At 39.1% G+C, this 19,377-nt stretch overlaps 1 protein-coding gene across 4 annotated transcripts in view; it reads right to left on the bottom strand.

The window, feature by feature from the left end:
• ERCC4 (ERCC excision repair 4, endonuclease catalytic subunit) overlaps window positions 1-19,377 on the bottom strand; it is a 32,195-nt gene that overhangs the window by 5,646 nt on the left and 7,172 nt on the right. For 2 of the 4 annotated variants that reach the window (XM_011522424.4, NM_005236.3), the window contains 7 exons: window positions 18,468-18,675; window positions 15,813-15,993; window positions 14,418-14,546; window positions 12,401-12,511; window positions 10,960-11,557; window positions 8,845-8,937; window positions 1,868-1,980 (listed from right to left, as the gene is read on the bottom strand). In XM_011522424.4, the coding sequence (XP_011520726.1) occupies window positions 1,868-1,980; window positions 8,845-8,937; window positions 10,960-11,557; window positions 12,401-12,511; window positions 14,418-14,546; window positions 15,813-15,993; window positions 18,468-18,675 (1,433 nt within the window). Of the gene's footprint in view, window positions 1-1,867; window positions 1,981-8,844; window positions 8,938-10,959; window positions 11,558-12,400; window positions 12,512-14,298; window positions 14,388-14,417; window positions 14,547-15,812; window positions 15,994-18,011; window positions 18,160-18,467; window positions 18,676-19,377 lie in introns of those variants that run through there. The other 2 variants (XM_047433774.1, XM_011522427.2) reach the window with 2 other exon arrangements.

Genomic DNA, 19,377 nt, shown 5'->3' with positions numbered 1-19,377 from the left:
TAAGAATCTGCATTCATAACAAAATGCCAGGTGATGCTAATGCTGCTTGTTTAAGGATCACATTTTTAAGTATCAAGGGCTGCTGTAGGCAGAATAATGGTACCCCGCAAAGATGTCCACATCCAAATCCCTGCAACCTATTAATACGGTCATGTGCTGTACAACAACGTTTTGGTCAATGACAAAGTGCATATAAGACAGTGATCCCGTAAGATCACAATACTGTATTTTTGTACCTTTCTATGTTTAGATGTGTTTACATACACAAATACTTACCATTGTGTTACAGTTGCCTAGAGTATTCAGTACAGTAACATGCTGTGCAGGTTTGTGGCCCAGGAGCCATAGGCCATACCACATAGCCTAGCTGTGCAGCAGGCTAGACCGTCTAGCTTTGTGTAAGCACGTTCTGTGATGTTCATGTAATGATGAAATCGCCTAATGACACATTTCTCAGAATGTATCTCCGTTAAGCATTTTGAGATTGGGAGATTATCTGGCTTATCTAGGTAGGCTGAAGGATTCTCAGAAGTGAAAGATGGAGGCAGGATGATCAGAGAAGGGAGGATGCTATGCTACTGGCTATGAAGATGGAGGAAGGGGCTATAAGCTAAGGAAATCAGGTGGCCTCTAGAGGCTGGAAAAGGCCAGGAAAGGGATTCTCCCCTAGAGCCTCCAGGAGGAATGCAGCCATGCCGATATCTTGATTTTAGCCTTGTGAAACCCATTTGGACTTTGAACCTGCAGAACTGTAACATAATAAAATGTGTGCTGTTTTGAGCCACTAAGTCTGGGGTAATTCGTTATAGCAGCCATAGGCAACTAATATGAAGGCGTGGAGAACTGATCTCTAAGGAAAGACTTCTACGAACAGCTCTCTGTGTGGTACCCATACTGCCTTACATTCTGTCGTTCTTCATGAAATGTCAACAACCTGGTTGATATTTCAAAGAATCTTCTTTGAACAAGACACAGAGGCTCTGAGGCAATGTTTCCCAAAGTATGGTCCAAAAACCACTTCCATCAGAAGCCCCCGAGCTGCTGGCTCCATTTCACATCCACTGAGTTGGAATTTCTATGAATTGAGGGTTATGAATCTACAGTTTTAATGAGCATCTGAGGTTATTCTAAAGTCTACTAAATTCTGACACCCACTGCTTCAACTGTACTTGGCCTCACCGAAGGTTAAACCAACTCAATCGTATTGCTTTTCTCATGCCACCTGGCTGAAATCAGCTGCTGGCATAGGAAAATAGGAATTTGGGGAATGGGAAAATGGTGACTTCTGGATCACAGTGCACTTGGAATTCAGCAGGTCTTGGTGGCATGCCACAGTTTGGACACTGCACAGCAATGCGTACCAGACACCAGGTATCTGGGGAGCTACCAAGAAGAAATGAATACAGAAGGAGAGGAGGAGTGTATGCACCCCACCTATGTATACAACTAAGGGGAGAGGCAGAGGAGGGAAGGAGAAACTTCCTTTAACTACTCTGAGTTAAACTGGCTTTTTAGGTTGAGATAAGAACCTAATCACCGTTTAACAAAGTTTATTTGCAAAAGTACATTCTGAGTCTCAACCAACCAAATATAAAGGAAATGCTGGAACATAACCCATTCTAAGCTGGGGTGCCTAAAACTCAACCTCACATGATTCGCAGATGACACAGTGCCTTCACTCTGGGGAGGACACATGGTTAGTGAATGGCAGAGCTGAGATTAGAGTAGGGAAGTACACATCCTCTCCTTGGCCCAACCCCCATTTTTAAGAGTTTGTTAATACAGACCAAGCCTTGGCAGAGTAACTCTGGAACTTCACAGCCCCCTTTGCAGGCAATGGAGGTGCCTGACAAAGTGCAGGACTCACCGGCTTTCCGAGTGTCAGTGGAAACATCTGCAGATGCTGTGCCTCTTACTAGGTCTAAGTTTGTTTCATCTCTGCCTTCTCTTTCTTCAGGGACAACCATGCTTGCTTTTTCCCTGTGGGAGAAAACATTGTCAACACTTCTGAAACAAATTTCAAAATTCTAGATTTTATTGTGTGTAAATTGTAGTATTGAAAATGATCTACATGATGATAGCAGTAAGAGAAAAACAAAAACAAAAACAAGGAATATATTAGAAGTAAATATGCCAAGACAAATGATGGGTAAAGGAAGTAGAAAAAGTCAGTAAAAAGTGCCTTGGTCGGATACTACTTCTTGATTTTCCAGAGTAAAAAAAGCAGTTGTTTATTTTGACTTTATATTCAAATATTTAAGAAACAACACAAGCATGTCAAAAAATGCCACATGTAAAAAATGCCACCAAGAGATTCTTGAGACTGTTTGTAAGGTTAAAGTGTAAATGTAAATCATTTATATTCAAACATTTTCAGGGTAATCACAAATAGGGGTGGTTAAAAATCATTAAGAAACTAAAAAACATATATGATAGAATTTTGATGTTAAAAACTCCAGGTGGGAGGTCCCATTAAACACCCTGAGTTTTAAAGGAAAATCAAGATCAAGATTTTGAAATAGATATAAGAAATCAAATTTCTATCAGAGATTAAAACAAAAAATCAACAGCTCAGGTTATGCCTTGGGAGCAGCATTCATTACTCACTCATGCATTTATTGAAAAACATTTATGGAGTGTTCCTGCGTGGTGCTCTAGGTACTTTGGATATAATCGTGATCACGCAAGAATTCCTGTCTTCAAGGTGGCTCATATCTTATACGGTAGATCTAGAGGACAGTACAATCATAACTAAGATTCGCAATTTGGAACTACATCATGACAAGATCCTCAATAATCACAGAAAGAGTAAGCCAGGTTTGCGGTAGCTTTATTTTTCAAAATTGATAAAGTATGTTATAATTAATTCTGCCAGGTATGACAGAAAAGATATATAAGCTGAGTCTCTTCCCTGCTTGGGTTCACAACTGATGTCGAGGGAACAAAGCAAACATGAGAAGAAAAAAAAAAACAACTGGAACTGAGGAACTGCGATAAAACAGACTAAGGTGAGGGGAACAGAAGAGGAACCATCAATGTTAATTAATTTCAACAAGGGTTAAAACAACCAAGATTTTCCCATTGATATGGTCTGGCTGGGTCCCCACGCAAATCTCATCTTGAATTAATAGTTCCGATAATCCCCATGTGTCCTGGAAGGGACCTGGTGGGAAGTGATTGAGTCATGGGGGTGGTTTCCCCCATGTTATTCTCATGATAGTGAGTGAGTTCTCACGAGATCTGATGGTTTTAGAAGTGTCTGGCATTTGTCCTGCTGGCACTCATTCTCTCTCCTGCTGCCATGTGAAGAAGGACAAGTTTGCTTCCCCTTCTGCCATGATTGTAAGTTTCCCAAGGCCTCCCCAGCCATGTGAAACTTGTGAATCAACTAAACCTCTTTTCTTTATAAATTACCAAGTCTGGGGTATTTCTTCATAGCAATATGAAAATGGACTAATACACCCATTAGAGGAAATGAAATCAGAGGGTTCAATTCTTCAACCACTCTGGATAAATATTTTAGAGCAGGGTATCACTAGAAGATACTACTAAAGAACAGAAATTGTAATTTAAAATTTTATACTATTTGAAACAACCTATAAATGCAAATATATTATTAGTACAAATTTTATAAGTAGATCACAAGGGGGCAGACAATGGTTTCAGTTCCATGTTTTTCTCATTATTCTCAATACCAGACTCAAGCGCTACCTGCTGAAAAGCCCTCTGCAATGGCAATGGCTCTGGCTGCCACTCATTACCACTCCATTCTCTCTATTGCACTCTGGTTAGGACAAAGGGCAGACCATTCAAAAAAATTACTGCTCTTCTATTTTTCCTTAACATTCATTTGGTATTATTATGTTGTGTCCCCCACTTTGTTTCTACTTGTTACACTGGCTAAGCTGTATATCACACATGGGATCATCCCAATTTCCTGATTAATTTGTAGTCTGTATAATCTTAGGGGGTTAGAGTACAGATTCCGGTTCCAAAGTGTGTGGATCTGAAACCATTTACTGGCCACGTGACCTTAGGCAAGTCATTTCATGGCTCTGTACTTCAACTTCTTTATTGGTAAAATGAGGATAATAATTTAAAAACTTACCTCAAAAGACTGTTATGAGGATTACATAACATATGCAAGGCGCTCAGAACAGTGCCTGGCACCTAGTAAGCACTATATAAATGTTAGGTGTTATTATTACTGTACTTTTCTTATAACGTGGTAATCTCTTCGTCTAATTATCCATGATTATACTAAAAAACTGAAGATTTGCTTTCAAATAATTCCACAATTGTTTCCATTAATAGCTACAGAAAACAGCTAGTTTACCACTAAATGTTATAACTTAACTACAAGTCGAATGTGAGAAAAAATATATTCGAGATGAAACCTGGACTATGAAGAAAATAAGCCTTCCTAAGCAGTAATTCAGTTTAACAGAAATGTATCGTAATTATAAACAGCCAGTCTCTTGCTTTCAACATGTGGCATAATTATCCAAGTTCCCCTATGTGACAGACACAAAACAATTAAAAAATTCAGATTCCTATTTCTGCTTAAAGCACCAAGCTTTCCTATGTTTGCTTTAGTATCTTCAATGGTATTTTTATTAAAATTTATTTTATTTTAATTTTTAAACAAATTGAGATGGATTCTCACATGTTGCCCATGGTGGTCTTGAGCTCCTGGGCTCAAGTGATCCTCTCGCCTTGGCCTTCCAAGGTGCTGGGATTACAGGCGTGAGCCACTGCACCCAGTCTTCAATGTTATTTGAATACCGTGTACAACATAATCCTATGGCAACATAGGAAAGTAGCACTGAACTAGAAGTCTCTTCCAATGGGCATTTACTTAAGCCCTCATGCTAGCCCATTTTGTGATCGTATTTTCAAAAAGTAAAATTTCAAATAATCTTACCCTTTCCTTTGAAAAGCAGTGACCTCCTCAAAGCTATGTATACTGAGGATGTTATTACTAAGTTTTCTACCCAGGGAGCATTTTACGTCCCTGGGTAGAAATAAAATTATTATGATATTTAGCAGTGTAATCTTTTCCACTTTATCTGTTATCTATAATCTACAGATCTTTAATCCAGCTAAACAATCCTTTCACTGTCAGTTCACCTGATTTGTTCCTTTCTGGTTAAAGAGCCACAACTGCTTTTGTTCTTACAACATCACCCATGGAGGTCTTGGTAAAAGCACATTGTCTCATCTTCATATTAAATTTTTCTCTTAAGTACACAGTGCAAATGTTTTTTGAACAATGCACCTCAAATATGTTTTTGCTTTGCAAAAGAAGCACCTCTCAAATTTCCCAAGTTTCCTGGGAAAGTAAGTATCTTAAGATTCTTAACAGTGCAACTATCTGATTGACTGCTGGGTAAAATGGGAAGATCTTATTTATGACAAGTAGACAATCATCATTGAAAGCATTAAAAATTATGCCAGATAACAGATAAAATTATGTTAAAACCTGGTGCAGAAATTTTTCTATGGATTGAAATGTGGGAGAGAGTCCATGATCCAGGTTCTGCTGAGTGAGGTTTTCCAGTATGTATAAGGCTAATCCACATCTTGTCACTGAGTCCTTTGATGTGTAGAAGCAGGTGCATAAATCAGGAATGGCATGGGATCTGGTACCTTACTACTATCTACTAAAAGTGCTCTTTTCTAGATTAGATTCCCTGATGCACTGGAGAAGAGGCAGCTGCATGAAGACAGGCGAAGCAAGAAACTCACCTACTCAGGTGCTGTCTTCCTCCCATTCTATCAGGCTCCTCTGGCTCTAACGCTGTGCAGGAAAGGATTAACTCAGCAGGCCTGGGCTGCTCAAACTCTGCATGTTTCCAAGAAAGGCTTCTCTCCTCAACACTGGCTCTTGGTCAGCTCCTGGGAGATGAGCTCTGAGCCCCTGGAGTATTCTCCCTGATAAGGTTTTTATATGCCTGAGGCCTTGGGTCACAATGTGCCAGCTGGATCAGATAGTTTATGCTGACGATGTGATTTATCGTAAATGTCTGTTGCTGCTTTGGGGGCTGGAGTCTGAGGAGCTGTAGCCAGCCATGGAGGTACTCTGTGTCTATGTGACTCAGCTCAGTAAAAATGTGGGGACTCAAGGCTCAGGTGAGTTTCCCTGTTGACAACACTTTGCATGTGTGGTCACACACTGTTGCTGGGAGGACTCAGCACATCCATGTGACTCCACTGGGAGAGGACACCTGGAAGCTTAGGCCTGGTTTTACCTGGACTTTGCCCCATGTGCCTTTTCCCTTTGCTGATTTTAATCTTTTTTTTCTTTTTTTTTTTTGAGACGGGGGTCACTCGGTTGCCCAGGCTGGAGTGCAGTGGCACGATCTAAGCTCACTGCAACCTCCACCTCCTGGGGTTTGAGTGATTCTCCCACCTTAGCCTCCCGGGTAGCTGGGATTACAGGCATGCGCCACCACTCCTGGCTAATTTTTGCATTTTTAGTAGAGGCAGGGTTTCACCATGTTGGCCAGGCTGGTCGTGAACTCCTGACTTCAAGTGATCTGCCCGCCTTGGCCTCCCAAAAGTGCTGGGATTACAGGCGTGAGCCACTGCATCCAGTCTTAATCTGTATCCTTTTGCTGGAAGAAACTGTATTGTGAGTATAACACCTTTTCTGACTCATGTGAGTTCTAGTGAATCATCGAGCCTGAGGATGATCTTGGGGAACCCTGACATGAACACTGAAAACCCAATCTGAGTATTTTAGCTCTGTGCACTCATTTCTATCTAGGTGACAATTATTTTAATGAGCGAAAACTTGGGCAAAGGCTGTTCTAAAAAGAGTGAAGGAATGGTCAGGAGGTACTGGCCCACATCCAGTATCACCAATTCTTTGATTCTATCTCCCAAATCTCTCTCAAATCTGTCTTCTTTCCTCCATTAACCTAATCTTGGCTACCACCTTCTCCCATCAGACTGCACTAGCATTCTGACTGGTTTCCACCCTCACTCACTCCTCAGCTTGATGCCAGAGAAAGCCTTTACAAACATACCTAAGTCCCTTTCCTACTTAGAATGCTTCAGTGCGGTCTTACTGCCCGTGAAGCCCTAAATCCTTTACAGGGCCTCTTGTACCTGGGAGCCTTCGTGCACGCCTTTGTTCAACATAACCCCCTTTCCACCCCATCTGCCTAGTATCAGCTTGAATATCATTTCCTCAGGGAAGCGGCTCCCGATCAGCTTGTGGTCTGGGTGAGGTCTTTGATGTACTCTCCTATTACACCCTCTTCTTTTACCTTTGCAGCCAGCGGTGCTCTGTATACCTCTACTTATTACAATATTTATAATAATTTAATGTCTGTCTTTTCCACTAAAGGGTAAGTTCCAGGAGGGCAGAGGCTTTTTCTGCACCACTTGTAACCTCAGCACTTTAATATTAGCACAGGGCCTGGCACATACCAGATGCTTAATAAATACCTGTTTACTCTTTGAGCCTTGTGGCGTGAAGGTCTAGCAGACAAAGAGTAAGACAGAGAGGAGCAAAGAGCCTGGAACAAGAGGCGGCTGGTATAATGCCTGGTCTGTTATAACACGATTTCTGAACTAGGTTTTTGAAAAATATATATACCCACATATACGACATAAACAATCCCATAGAGCACACTGGTAGGAAACATATTTTCATAGGCTGAGAGGACTGAGCAATACTTGTATGACTAGCAGCTGGATGAATCCATGGCCAAGGCATATCACCATTCGAGAGGATGTGAAGGGAAAAGAGGGGACCGCCCATGCACCATGCTGACCCCCATCGTGGGACTCCATGCCACTGATTCAGCAAATACCCCCATTTCCAAGAATTCTTCTCCTGGGCTATCCAGGTTATATGTATATTTTGCACATACACTGAGAACCCGCAGCCACCACTGCAGAATGGTTATCCATTTTGAAATTTGGCCTAGGGTCTTGGCAGTCCTCGCAGGTTGACTACTGCTAAAAATAATTTCTGCCCTCCATTGCCAATGTCTGAGGCTTGGAAGTTTGCTCTGGCCCAGCCCACTCCGTCCAGGCCATGGTCTCTGCTGATCTAACTTTCTCTGGCTCAGCTCTGTGATGCCCCATCCAGCACTTGCCCTGGCTTCTGAGGCCCTTAGAGATTATCTGGCCCATCTTCCCACACCAGGCTGCAATCTTCTTGACAATATCCCTGGTAGGTGGTTATCAGATTTATCGAATGCCTTCAGGGCAAGAGGTAGCCAACCAGTTTGTGAACATCTCACCATTTTCCTTTCGTAAAATGGAAGGGCATTTTCTACTTGGATTTGGAATAGTACCAGATACTCATTCTTAAAAACATACACGTGTATGTCCAGACAAACAACACACTTCCTAAGAAATATTTTCCCAGAGTGATTCTATTGATGGTGATCATAATTGGCTGTGTTGTAAAAGCATTTCCCAATAAACGGTAAAGCAGCCACCCACCCAAGGACATATTGTGCATAAGGCAGGGAGGAGGGAGATTTACTAATGTATTTCTTAGAAAAGCAGTATTTTAGCTATATTTCTCGTGTTTTATCATACTGCTTCACAAACAAAAAAGCAGTTGTCTTTGTCACATTTCTAATATTCTATTAAACAAACCACTGAAAAGCAACTGGAGATGAAGGAAGAGACGGGGAAGAGAAAAAGGAAGTATGTGCTGAGATCTACACTGGAGGACAATTCAGACCACAGGTTTATCTCAATGTGATCCTCTCCAACGTCTTCCTTGCCCTATCCTTCCTGAGCAGGACTATCTGATATTCCCCCATCCAGAGGTTTCCAATGTAGTTGGGGCTTTCATACTGATTTTCTATGTATTACCTTATGAGTTTTTCAAAAGCTTCCTTTTCTTTCCGCAAAGCAGTGAGATAGCGTTGTTCCTCAGTTGAACCTCCGTATATAAGAAAGTAAACCCTGCATGTTAAGACAGAACTTTTAGGTTGGAAAAACAGCATTTTTAATCCCTGAAAGGAACAGCAGAACATGTGAAATCAGCAACCTAGAGCGCTCAAATAACAAATATTTGACTAAGAATCAAAGGTTTCATTTATCACACACTAGCTCAAATTAAGCTGCCTAAACCCCACCTGTTAAAGGTCTCGTTACCACACAGGGCATTTTTTATTTTCTTTTGCCAAAAGGAAGAAACGAGTTTAGGTAAACACTGAAATATAACTAGAGGGATAGAATAATTCTCTCCTCATAACTATAAACAAACAGAAAAACACACAAATTTTAGAGGCTTCTCCAATTCTTTCTTTGTACCTCAGCCAAACAATCATTTAAAAAGTTGGACAGTAGTTATGAAAACCAGCCTATGAACGTTTTTTTTAATTCATGTCTTAACAGAATACAGCGGTCACACATTTTATATAAATACATGGGCATGGAAGACGTATGGATTACATCAGGCATCTCAAAGAATAATTTGATCTACTTTCTCTTAGAAAAGTCCTGGTTTTTAGGCTGGGCACGGTGGCTCACACCTGTAATCCCAGCACTTTGGGGGGCTGAGGTGGGAGGATCATTTGAGCTCAGAAGATCAGCCTGGGTAATATACTGAGACCCCATCTCTACAAAAAAAAAAAAAAAATTAGTTGAGCATGGTGGCACATGCCTGTAGTCCCAGCCACTTGGGGCTGATGTGGGAGAATCACGTGAGTCAGGGAAAGGGGGAGGTGTTGAGGCTGCAGTGAGCCATGATTGCAACACTGCACTCCAGTCTGGGCATCTGGGCAAGACACTGCCTCAAAGAAAAAAAAAAAAAGGAAAAAAAAAAAAGGCCTGCTTTTCCATCTTGTTTGTTGCTAAGAGAGCTGAATTAAGCACCTCCTCTGTCCCTTTGCTTCACCTTCAGTCAAAGCTATTTTCCTTTTTGAGCCTTGGTTTTTCTTTTAGCTGTTATCTTCCTAGATGATAATTCTTTGAAGTGTAAACAGAGAAAAGATCATTGGGTGATGAGTCAAGAGACTCAGCTCTCCCACGGATGTGTCATGTGGCCAAGGCCAACTCAGTCACCATTTCTGGGCCTCAGTTTCCCGTTGATAGAGTAAGTGGTTGAACTCCCAGGTCCCTTCTGATTCTAACATTTTGCTCCCAAATACCACACTATTCTGTTCTCAGGCAAGAAAGAAGCTTGGTGTACATAAGCTATCTACAAAGTTGATCAACAGCACGGTACAAAAAATTTACCAGCCTATAATTATTTTACCAGCCTCATCTAATCTCTTCATCCTGCATTATTTCTGATCCAGCTCCTCCATTCATCTCTACTCTGAAAGGCTGTGTTAGTTAAAATGCTAGGGGAAGGTTTCTTTTGGCTCCGTTTTTGGTTCAGACTGAGTTCAGGATATTAATTTTGCTGTTTATTTCCCCTCAGATAATTGGAAAGCCAGAACACTATCTTCTTTGGGAGGCATCATTTTCTCATCTGATATTTCTGTAGATGTTTCATCTGATATATCTTGAAACTCAAGAAAACCTGGTACAGTAATTCCCCCAACACTTTAGTTTTATATGGATGTAATTTAGAGTCATTTCTTAAAATTTATAGGAAAGATATTTTAGAAGATTAAAATTACTTAGCCGAGTCACAGTTATATTAACTTTTGTTAGAAATTAGAATATTATGCATTTCCCAGACTTTTTCAGATACAGTACCCCATACGATGCAAACCAATACCCAAAGAATAAAGGAGAGAACGCACAGCAGCACGTAACGAGAACAAGAGCAGTCCCCTTGGTTTGTTGTTCTGCTGTGATACTTGACATCCTTCCTATCCAACTTCCCAGATTCATCAGGAAGCAAAATAAGGTTTCATAAACATAAGCAGCATCGTAACGGATATTAAAGAAAACTAACATGCAACTGGTATAGTTTCTGGGTTAAATCCTAAAGAACTGTGCAACTGAAAGCTGTGATTCTTTATAACTTGCCTCAGAGGTTTCCCAGGCCTACTCGCCCTGTAAATTTCAAGCTGCCGAACAAAGGTTAGCTCTGCGTCATAAAGAACCACGTATCTTGGCTCCACTTCATGTAGTACCCTTGTCAGAGCATAGGGGTCGCTGCAACCCAGAAGCGGATGGATGATAGTGAGGGGTTCTTTCAGGATTCCGAAAGCAGCATCCGATGACAAATTTACATCAAATTCTTCATGCTTAATTTCTTCCGGGCAGCTTTCTGGGCTACTGCTTATTTCTCGACGATATCCTTCCTCGACATCTCCTTCCTCTTCCAGTTCTTCAGGTTTTCCTACCATTTGAGTTAAGGTCAACTTCCGTTTTTTCTTTTTGAGGGTTCTTTCTTTGGTAGAAGCCCGTTCTTTGTTTTGGGGGTCTTTAGGTCTTTTGTGAGATTTCCTAATTCTCTTTGAACTGTCTTCCTTCCTAAATTTCATCCAGACTTCTTCAGCTTTGCTATCCTTCTCAAAGGTTTTCCTGTAGAGCCTCAATAAGAAGGCCTCCGCTCCAAGAGTGATATAGTCTCTCAGCTGGGAACATGTTCGGTCATCACTTGCACAAATCAGTACTTGACCTGAAAATAGAAAACAACATTATGTTACTATTACCTCACTTGTCCTCCTAGTTTCCCTGTGCCCCCTTATTCCTTCACCCGAAGGGAAGACATCTTACCCTTTGGTATTAAAGATCCACAATTTACAAACTATTTAAAAAGGGTCTTAGGTATTGATCAAATGCTTTCTCCTCTCTGGCAAGATTACTTAAATCTTTTCAGTAAAGTTGAAGCCAGACTATTTAATCTTATGAAAGTACAACTGTGGTGTAATTGGGGCTTTAAAGAAGTTCTTTTTAATTAATATTTTTTTCCAGAGGATCTCATATATGCCTAAATTAATTCCAAATGGATTTTTCCTCTTTTGTGAATTGTGTTAGTCTCCTCTGCCAATTTAGACAATGTCTTCAGTTTGTACCGGCTCATTACATATTGAAGTAATAGAAGAGTTGAGGCTTTTTTGGAAAGATACTTGGCTGAGGATATAAAACAGGAGACCCATTAGTTTATTCCTTGGGGATTCCAGATTTAAAGCTTGGTGAATATGTGTAGAGATTAGCTCAATCTTTAAATAGAAGTTCTAAGAACCCAACTAGTTTAAAAACCTGCTTTCATGAATATACAATGATTCAACCTGGAGAAAACAACATCAAACGAACAGAAATGAGGTTGCCACTAGGATCTCAGTGTTCATTTGCCATTTATTTGTCTACATTTTATAGATAAAATAGCAGTGTTTTAAAATAGAGACAGGGTTTCACCATGTTGGTCAGGCTAGTCTTGAACTACTTTTAAAGAGCTAATTAAATCAGGACTCATTTGATAGATTTTGGAAGCAAATGTTTTCATCTCCTTTTTTCCTACCTGGACCACCAAGAGCTTCACTCTCCTTATTTTCTGCCTCAATTTCTTTTAATACTTCAGTCAGTGCCTCCCACTTTGGGTTGCTTTCTAGGACCAGTTCCTTTTTTGTTTCTGTAGAGAAATAAAAATATCTCATTCTATGTGATAATATTTACCCATAAAGTCTTCCAAAGGCTTTTAAAACAACAGATAACACGAGCATCAGTACATATGCCCATTTATTTAAGCTTTCTTTATAATGTTAGATGGAATCTGCTTTCCTGAAAAAGATCTACTTAAGGTGTAAATGAAAGATACTTCAAACCATTAATATGGCTTTCAAAATGCCTTGGTAGAAAGTTATATGCATGGTCACTAATGAGAGACCATTCTGTGTTAGTTGTTTCTGTGACACTATATATAAGCAGCTATACAAAACAAAGGCATCGGTACACAATGACAGTATTTACTATTTCTAAAATCCCCATGACTTTCATAATCCTGAACATGGATAAAAGTAGACAACAATTAAATTTTTTGTTCCTATACGCATTCAAACACAAACACATCAATAATATATTCAATTAAGTTTTCTTTAAAAAGATTTTTTTTTTTTAAGACGAAGTTTCACTCTTACTGCCCAGGCTGGAGGCAATGGCATGATCTCGGCTCGTTGCAACCTCTGCCTCCTGGGTTCAAGCAAGTCTCCTGCCTCAGCCTCCCAAGTAGCTGGGATTACAGGCATGTGCCACCACTCCTGGCTAATTTTGTATTTTTAGTAGAGAGAGGATTTCACCATGTTGGTCAGGCTAGTCTCGAACTCCTGACCTCAGGTGATCCACCTGCACTGGCTTCCCAAAGTACTGGGATTACAGGCATGAGCCACCGCGCCCGGCCTCAGTTAAGTTTTGAAACAGACCTTTAAACTAGGCAGAAAGCAGGCATTAACCCTATCCCATGCCTTAAAAAACTAGTGATATTTACGGTATCACTAGATAAGATGCTGGAATAAAACCCATATTTGCCTCATTCTAGTATATTTATGTTGCTTAAAAATTAAAAAGGATATTCAAATATTCCATCCTGACTTTATTTATTAGTTTTGAGACACAGTCGTACTCTGTCACCCAGGCTGGAGTATAGTGGTGTGATCATATCTTGGTGTCACCTTCAACTCCTGGGCTCACCTTAGCCTCTCAAGTAGCTGAGACGATAAGTGCACATCACCTCGCCAGGCTACTTTAAAAGTTTTTGTGTTTTTTTTTTTTTTTTTTTTTTGAGACCGAGTCTCACTCTGTTGCCCAGGCTGGAGTGCAGTAGTGTGATCTCAGCTCACTGCAACCTCCGCCTCCTGGGTTCAAGTGATTCTCCTGCCTCAGCCTCCTGAGTAGCTGGGATTACAGGTGCCCGCCACCACGCCTGGCTAATTTTTGGTATTTTTAATAGAGACGGGGTTTCACCATATTGGCCAGGCTGGTCTCAAACTCCTGACCTCAGGTGATCGGCCTGCCTCAGCCTCCCAAAGTGCTGGGATTACAGACGTGAGCCACTGAGCCCAGCCTTAAAATTTTTTTTGTAGAGATGGAGTCTTGCTTTGTTGCCCAGGATGGTCTTGAACTCCCGGGCTCAAGCAATCCTCCTGCCTCGGCCTCCCAAAGGGCTGGGATTATAGGTGTGTGCCACCATGCCCCAACCTCATTCTGACTCAAAAATAATAATTACTTTGAAGTTCTAAAAAAATCAATATATAGCTCCTCATGTAGCATACTTTTGATCAATATTTGACATCTGTTATTTGGAAGCCCTGGGCAATAGACTGCAAGACTTGCCATGCTGTATACTTCGACATACATTACACATATACTTTACATATATACTTTCAACATACATTACATGTTACATATAACAAACATACATACATTTATCTTCAAGGAACACACTTTTCACATGGCCAAAGAAGACTTTAAATTGCACTTTAAATTTCCATACCAAATACCGAAATAAAAAACACATTTAAAGACTTAACCCCACAAGATACCTTCCCCTTCTTTAATTTCCATTTTTTCAGATATTTTTTCTTTTTTACTCATTTTGGCATCTGGAAGATGATAAACCCTTGCTCGAGCATTTATAAACATCGAGGTGCTGGAGTCAAGAAACAGCCAACCTAATACGAAAAGTTAAAAGAAAAAGTGCCATCAATTTATGGTTAATTTAAAACAGTCTCTGATGGTCACATGACCTACATACGTAACTGGCTGTCATCCTGTCTTCCTACCAACCACACCGCCTCCCACTACTGTGATCTGTCGCTGTTCAGCTGGACCAGTGGTTTTCTGGGTGTGGTCCGTGAACTCCCAGGGGCCCCCAAGATATTTTCAGGGCTATGTGATGTCAGAACTTTTCTCGTAACAATACCATGACATTATTTGACTTTTTTCACTGCGTTGACATTTCCAGTGATGGCGTAAAAGCAAGTTATTTTAATATTTGCAATGTTGTTAATAGGAATTTGCTGTTATTTAAGAATAAAATTGGAGGTCATTTAAAACACAGCTTCTTTGGTTTACTGGAAAGTAATAATTTATAGGAAAATATGTGGATTGGCATATAAGCATCACTCTGACTTTTGCAGTTATATAGTAAGTGGTTATCTCTTATTTTAACTATAATCAAGAGGAAAATAAATAACATTTTTTACTTTGAAATGACAACATTTGGATATCTACAGGTAGAAGAGTTTTACATAAGAATGCTCCATAATTGTACATGCTGGTGCCGTAGCATGAACCAAGGCAGTGCCATGAAAGTGTACTGGCATTCAGTGCATTCTTTACTGTCATGCTTCTGCAGTTCATCACTTAAGAATGTCCCTAAAGAACCATCAGAATTATTAACTGTATTAAATCTTGACCCCAGGGGTTCACGGACCACACTTTGAAAACCGCTGGTCTGGTCAAACAGTGACAGAGGCCAAAACAGTGGTAGCCAAACGAGATGGTGGCCAGCTGTATATGTATATTTCCCTAAAATCTCTTCTGCTCTTCAGTCTTTGGCACTCTAGCTGATGGAAGCCCCATACTCCCTTGCTTTTGCTTTGAGGAAAATGAATTTTAAGTTCTTAACAACTAAACTTCCAGAACACAACCTATTTCTAAGTTGAGGACTGCCTGTACTACACACAGTCTTTTCTAGAAATAAAATTGCCCGGAACGGATATGAATATTTATTATTATACAGAACAGACGTTAAGTAGGCGGAAACATTAGCTATCAATAAAACCTACATCTTTGTGCTATGAACATAAAACATAATTTGAAATCTCAGTATAACATATAGTTGAATATAGCACTTTTCACACCTGATTCCCCCTAAAACCTAACACTTTATTCAAATCAGCTCTTAGAATATTATTAGTATTTTAATCTCCCACCTGAATTCTGACCAAAAGCTTTTTCCGTTGCTCTCAGAGATTCCAGAAGATTAAGAAATGTGACACAATCATACTGAGAGAGATACTGCAGCAAAGTTCGTAATATCTTCAAATCCTGAACTAAGGATTTAGTCTTGGCTCCAAGCTGGTGCCACAAAGGATCCAGATAATGGCGGATTGTCTAAAACAAGAATAAAATTTGGTATTGCTAAAATATGTTAAGTATAGTTATTCTTAATACAAATCATACTTTCAAAAGGATTATTTCCTGTGTATCTAAAAATGGTTAAAATGGTAAATTTTATGTCATATATATTTTACTACAATAAAAAAACTGCAAGCATTATTCAAGGAAGTGGCTAGAACATTTCAGTTAATAAAATTCTAATAATAATGTTTAAATTTTCAAATATAGAAGAATGTCTTACTGCTAGAATCTTTATGATCAGATAGAGTCAATCTATCATCCAAATATATATTACTGTCAGGGGAGAAAAGACCTTATAAACATCAGATAATCAATTATTTGTTTTTATGAACAGAATCTAAGCATGTAGCTCAGATATGTTCAATTCCTGCCAAGTTTGACTCTGACTATCCTGGATGGATAAAGACATGGGATCCAAATGGACCAAGCAGAGGGCATACACAAGCACGATGGCTTACTAACAAATTAAGGTACATTGCTATTTAATTTGTACATGAGTATCATGTTTTTTGACCTTTAAAATAAGGTATAACCAAGAAATGAAAAATTTAGTTTGATGCCCATGTACAAATTAAATAAGAATTATCAAATTAAATAACAACGTACCATAATTTGTTGGTGTAAAAATTTCTTTAGTGTTTTTTCTAAAGTGGATTCATGATAGGAAAATATTTGTTAAATTAACAATGGACTAAGTTTGATTATTATTATTATTATTTTGAGATGGAGTCTCACTCTGTAGCCAGGCTCGAGTGCAGTGGCACAATCTCGGCTCACTGCAACCTCCGCCTCCCAGGTTCGTGCCATTATCCTGCCTCAGCCTCCCAAGTAGCTGGGACTACAGGCGTTGCCACCACGCCCAGCTCATTTTTTGTATTTTTAGTAGAGACGAGGTTTCACCGTGTTAGCCAGGATGGTCTCGATCTCCTGACCTCATGATCTGCCCGCCTCGGCCTCCCAAAGTGCTGGGATTACAGGCGTGAGCCACCGCACCCGGCCAATTATTTTTTAAGATTCCAAAATGCTGTCTAAAACAAAGAACAGCTTTATGTATACACTATGTAGGTACCTACATATCCACAGCTATGTATATGTATGTTTCCTTCACAGACTGATTCTGTTACTTTTTAGGTACAGAATTATCTGATTTTTAATCAGAAATTTGTAGCCTGATATAAAAGCAGTACCATTGCACGGAATCTTATCTAACAAATTTAATAATGAGCAGGAGAAGTATCTGGATGACTGTATAGTTTATTGTCTAAACCAGAACACTTGTGGAAAAAGAAATGATACACTATTTATAATCACTGCAGGACAACAGGTAGATACTGGGACTATCCTGAACAAACTGGGATATATAACTACATGCCTTTTTTGTAAAATCATCTACAAAATATTAAACATTTTAACAAGACACATGGGATATCTATATTTAGATATGGTTACTAAAAGAATATCTAAAACAATGAAGTGACTGTTACTAACCGGGGGATAATCAACAGAAATTCAGTGTGAAACATGTTAGGCTACAATTTTATTTTTCTAGGGATATACACATTCTATTAAAAGATTGTGTGGGATTTAAAAAAAATCACCATGGACTAAATCATAAAAAACTTTAAGCACAGAGGAACAGAATATATAAAATTAGTTTTATGTATCAATATTCATAGTCAACTGACTTTTTTGAAGAATCAGAGAAATAAGTCAATTTTTTCCTTTTTTATAATCGCCACGCATTATTGCCAGTGACATAGAGATTGACTCAGAGTTTAAAAGACAGAAACTTTTTCTACCAGAATATGACAAAAAGGCTGCCAAGAATTTCTAAAAGGTCAGCATTTTCTGGATCTCCAATTCAATACTAGACGTTTATGTATCTGTAATAATATTAATCTATAATGAAAAAGTAGACATTTATATATCTGCAATATTAATCTATAATAAAAAATTAGTTAGAATAAAAATTCCTGGAACTGATGTCTTACCATTTCCTCAATTCAGAATGTAATTTTAAGACAGAGCAAGTTTCACACTCCTCAGTAATGAAAACTCATCCAAATTATTTTTTATTCCATAAAAGAGATCATAAATTCATGTACAATTATGGAGCATTCTTATGTAAAACTCTTCTACCTGTAGACATCCAAGTGTTGTCATTTCAAAGTAAAAAAAGTTATTTATTTTCTTCTTGATTATAGTTAAAATAAGAGATAATCACTTACTATAACTGCAAAAGTCAGAGTGATGCTTATATGCCAATCCACATACTTTACTATAAATTATTACTTTCCAGTAAACCAAAGAAGCTATGTTTTTAAGTGACCTCCAATTTTATTCTTAAATAACAGCAAATTCCTATTAACAACATTGCAAATATTAAAATAACTTGCATTCTTTAAAATTACAACATAATAAACTGTGCTTAAAAGGAAAAAGAGTACCTTGTCAAAAGGTTTTCCAATAGCATTTTCTAAAGATAAATCTTCCACTTCAAGCGATGGGTTATGGCATTTTAGTTCCTTTAGACATGCATTTAAAATGTCCAGTATAGCAGTCTGTATAGCAAGCATGGTAGGTGTCATAGAAACATGGATTTCTACAACTTCAGGTTTGTGCTGTTCTAAAAATGAGTTTACTGCTACATGGAACCTAAAGAGACAAATATTTTTCAACAATTTTCTAGAGTTTCAGCAGCTATGTATTTCTGGTCTTGGTTTAACACCCCATTTTTATAAATGCTACAAACAACACGAAAAGCAAAACAACAAACAAATGAAAAGCAAAGCAACAACATTTTCAAAAACACTTTGAACCTCAATGAATAGAAGCAGTGTATTATTCAGATAAGGAAAGGGTCAGCAAACTACGGTCTGGGCCAAATCCTGTACCTGTTTCTATAGTCTCACTGGAATGCAGTCACACCATTACTTATGTAAGCAGTCTATACTTGTTTTTGGGCAATAACAGAGTTGAGTAATTGTGACAGTCTATATGGCCTGCAAAGCCCAAAATATTTACTACCTGGCCATTTACATGAAGAGTTTGTTGACTCCTAAAACAAGGTATAATCAAGAAAGTTAAAAATACTATAACTACTCTTTTTTTTTTTTTTTTTTTTTGAGATGGAGTTTCGCTCGTTGCCCAGGCTGGAGTGCAATGGTGCGATCTCAGCTCACTGCAACCTCTGCCTCCTGGGTTCAAGTGATTCTCCTGCCTCAGCCTCCCAAGTAGCTGGGACTACAGGCATGTGCCAACACGCCTGGCTAATTTTTGTATTTATAGTAGAGACAGGGTTTCACCATGTTGACCAGGCTGGTCTCGAACTCCTGACCTCAGGTGATCCGCCTGCCT

This window comes from Homo sapiens, chromosome 16 (assembly GCF_000001405.40).
Source record: "Homo sapiens chromosome 16, GRCh38.p14 Primary Assembly".
Taxonomy (NCBI): domain Eukaryota; kingdom Metazoa; phylum Chordata; class Mammalia; order Primates; family Hominidae; genus Homo; species Homo sapiens.
This window is presented reverse-complemented; position numbering and strand designations above follow the sequence as displayed.